We start from the raw sequence: 4,023 nt of genomic DNA on the forward strand, positions 1-4,023 counted from the left end.
TGGGACTGTAAACTAGTTCAACCAATGTGGAAGACAGTGTGGCGATTCCTCAAGGATCTAGAACTAGAAATACCATTTGACCCAGCCACGTCATTACTGGGTATATACCCAAAGGATTATAAATCATGCTGCTATAAAGACACATGCACACATATGTTTATTGCAGCACTATTCACAACAGCAAAGACTTGGAACCAACCCAAATGTCCATCAATGATAGACTGGATTAGGAAAATGTGGCACATATACACCACGGAATACTATGCAGCCATAAAAAAGGATGAGTTTGTGTCCTATGTAGGGACATGGATGAAGCTGGAAACCATCATTCTCAGCAAACTATCACAAGGACAGAAAACCAAACACCGCATGTTCTCACTCATAGGTGGGAATTGAACAATGAGAACACTTGGACACAGGAAGGGTAACATCACACACCGGGGCCTGTCGTGGGGTGGGGAGAGTAGGGAGGGATAGCATTAGGAGATATAGCTAATGTAAATGATGAGTTAATGGGTGCAGCACACCAACATGGCACATGTATACATATATAACAAACCTACACATTTTACACATGTACCCTAGAACTTAAAGTATAGTAAAAGTAAATAATAAATAAAGTTTTTATTCTAATTTATTCATTTGACGTTTTCCAAATTATAAAACCAATATCTAACTGTGGTAACAAGATAAACAATATAAAGAGGGTTTATAAAATTATTTTTATCTTTTCTCACTTAATTTCCTCTCCTACACACACATACACACCCTATACACGCACTCACCCATATACACCTGTGCATATACAGCCACATATACACACAGAAGGCTTTGGTTTCCTTTAAATAAAACATCAAAATGGCATCATATTCTCTTACCCTGGGTGTCCTTTTATTCAGTTAACAATATATTATGGCCACCCAAAAATATGTAGGAATTAACTAAACTCTGTTTTTTCTAATAAATAATATGTGAACACAAAATAACATATCCTCATATGCACACATATAATATTATATATAAATAGAACTATATTGTATTATTTTAAAAGGTAGTCATTTTCTTTATTCTTCACTCCACTGTCCTCTTATCCTTCTGTCAACCTGTACACTGCCGTATCCTCTAATCTGCATCTGCTCTGGCAAAACCAAGATAAGTAGTTAATAATTCAGGTGGATGTTTTATATCATTAATGCTCTAATCATTTAGTTATATATTAAGAGTGATGGAACAGGCCCTGGGGTGCCTGTAAAGAACAATCTTAAATACTGGAGTTGAAAATACAGGGCATTTACTTGTTTGTGGTGTTGTTTAAAAGAAAATTCAAACCTATTATAATGTAATGTGACTTGACACCTTGTTTTTGTCTCTGATCATGGAAAACTCTGAGTAAACTGTAACCGTTCTAATTCATTTCTCTTGGTGGCTGCATGATATTCCAAGGTGTGAAGTTTTGGTTTGAGAACTTTACTATTTTGAATAATGCTGTTTTAAACATTCTTCTACATCTACCCTTTCATATTTATGGGTGAGTTTCCTATGGGTTATATTACTAGATCAAAGGGAATTTTAAATTTTCATAGATTTTCCCAGATTGTTATTTCAAAGAGGTTATAGCAACACTTTCACTATCAATGCATAGAAGAATACTTTTCTGCAAATCTCTATGAAAAATGGCTAATACATTTTTAAATGTTCCAGTTGGCTGTGTATAAAATCATATAATTGTCATTTTAATTTTAATTTCCCTGTTTACTTGGAAGTCTAGGAACCTTTTCATATGTTAACAGGTCACTGGCACTTGCCCTTTTGTAAAAACTCTAGTCATATATTTTGCTCATATTTCCACCTAGTTATTTATATATTTTCCACTTTTATTACTTTTTAAGAATTCTTTTTCTATTATGGCTCAATTTTCCCAAATCTATCACTTGACTTTTACTTTATGTTGAATTCTTGCTCAGAGAGCTCATATAGTGCTCATTAGGGTCATTCACTGGTTCCTTGTTTTATCTATTTGGAGAGGTCATAGTTCCTCCTTGTTTGCTGTTGTTTCTTGTGGGTGTACATTTATGTATTTGCATTGAATGATTAGTTACTGATTCCAGTCTTTTCTGTCTGGCTTGTTTTGTTTTATAATTGGACACATTTTGTTAGAGTCTTTGTAATTTACCTGATGAATTCCTTTTCTTTTTTCCCCACTAGGTTGCTGCCTCTTTTTTGGCACTAGATGGCGCCTGAAAGCCAGCTTTGCCTGTGCTCTAGCAAACAGAACGCTGCCTGACCTGAATCGGGTGGGTCCCAAACAGATAGTATCCTGGCTGTGTGGGAAGACTGGTTCATGCGCAGAGGACCTGTGTAAAGTACTTCCTACAGGGTGATGCTGCTGAACAACCACTCTGCTTTGGCGTCTCCTTTGGCTGAGCTACAGAGCAGAGTTTCCCTGGCTGAGGATGGTAGTCCCATCTCCACATTTTGTCTCTGCCTATCCTAAGGAATATTTTTCCTTTCAGGCACTAGGAAAGCTTTGCTGTGTTGAAGCAGGGACAGATATCCTGCCAGGGAACCCAAGATGATGGGGAAACTGGCCATCTGCCATGACCTCACTTTTTCTAGTGTAGAAACCATGAGTTAGAGGCAGACTTCCCATGTGCTTGGTGCCAAGCTGACTGATGGGAGGGGCATCACAGGTATGGAAGTCCAATTCCCTTATCATTTGCTCAACGTTTTTTCACTTACTTGTGGCCCTGGAAACTGTCTCATCTTTATATTTGAATTCTGGGATAATGCTGGTGATAATCTCAGTGCTGTTTATTTGGTTTTGGTTTTTCTGTTGTGGGTGGGGGTGCGTAGTGAAGCCAGATTGATTCTGTGCTGCCATTTTGAAAACAAAAACTGACTTTAAGCTATTTGCTGTACATTTTAAGTGCTTATATTAGCCAAATCAACTACAAAAAAGTTTACTCAAGTAATTGAATAACAGTTTCCAAAAAAGAATTTTTTAAAAAAATCTTACCAACAAGATATTTGGATGTGAAATTCTAAGATAGTTCCTTGGCTTAGAGGGAACATCATGGATTCATCCCCTTTCCATTCATCCTTTTGCTCTTTCATCTAAGTGTTTTAGCTTTTTATCCTAAGCCTAAATATTGACTGTTAGACATAAGATAGCTTCTAAGATACAAACATGGTGTTTTCACATGGTTGTGTTCAAAGGTAGAAAGCAGAGGTACTGGGGCAGTGAGAAAGCTCTCTCTTTCTCTTATTTTATTTTATTTTATTTTATATTTTATTTTATTTTATTTTATTTTATTTATTTTATTTTATTTATTTTATTTTATTTTATTTTATTTTATTTATTTTATCTTATTTTTGAGTCAGAGTCTCTCTCTGCTATGCAGCCTAGAGTATAGTGGTACAATCTCAGCTCACTGCAACCTCTACCTCCTGGGTTCGAGAAATTCTTGTGCGCCTCAGCCTCCAGAGTAGCTGGGATTACATAGGTGTGTGTGCCCTCACATACGGCTATTTTTTTTTTTTTTTTTTTGAGACGGAGTCACACTCTCTCACCCAGGCTGAAGTGCAGTGGCATGATCTCGGCTCACTGCAACCTCCTCCTCCCAGGTTCCAGTGATTCTCCTGCCTCAGTCTCCTTAGTAGCTGGGACTACAGGCGTGTGCCACCACATCGGGCTATTTTTTTTTTGAATTTTTAGTAGAGACAGGGTTTCACCGTGTTGGCTAGGCTGGTCTCAAACTCCTGGCCTGAAATGATCTGCCCACCTTGGCCTCCCAAAGTGCTGGAATTACAGATGTAAGCCACCACACCCTGCCCAAGAAAGTTCTCCTTACAAAAGAAGGGAATAGCCCTTGGATGAGCCATGTGTTTTCCACAGCCAAATACATACTTTTCTTCATAGCTTCTAGATTTCTTACATTATTTAAAAGGGTTTCTTCTACCTATAGATAGTACATTTAATCTCCCAATTTTTCGTTGTCTTATGTTTTATATTTAGGTCTCTGT

At 37.3% G+C, this 4,023-nt stretch overlaps 1 annotated feature.

Annotated features, from left to right (window-relative positions):
- Positions 2,085-2,379: an enhancer, noted in NCBI's record as "tiled region #5653; HepG2 Activating non-DNase unmatched - State 12:CtcfO, and K562 Activating DNase matched - State 13:Ctcf". NCBI's record gives its function as "activates a minimal TATA promoter and a strong SV40 promoter by Sharpr-MPRA in HepG2 and K562 cells {active_cell/tissue: HepG2 | K562}" and the evidence as "EXISTENCE:reporter gene assay evidence [ECO:0000049][PMID:27701403]".

This window comes from Homo sapiens, chromosome 2 (assembly GCF_000001405.40).
Source record: "Homo sapiens chromosome 2, GRCh38.p14 Primary Assembly".
Classification (NCBI taxonomy): domain Eukaryota; kingdom Metazoa; phylum Chordata; class Mammalia; order Primates; family Hominidae; genus Homo; species Homo sapiens.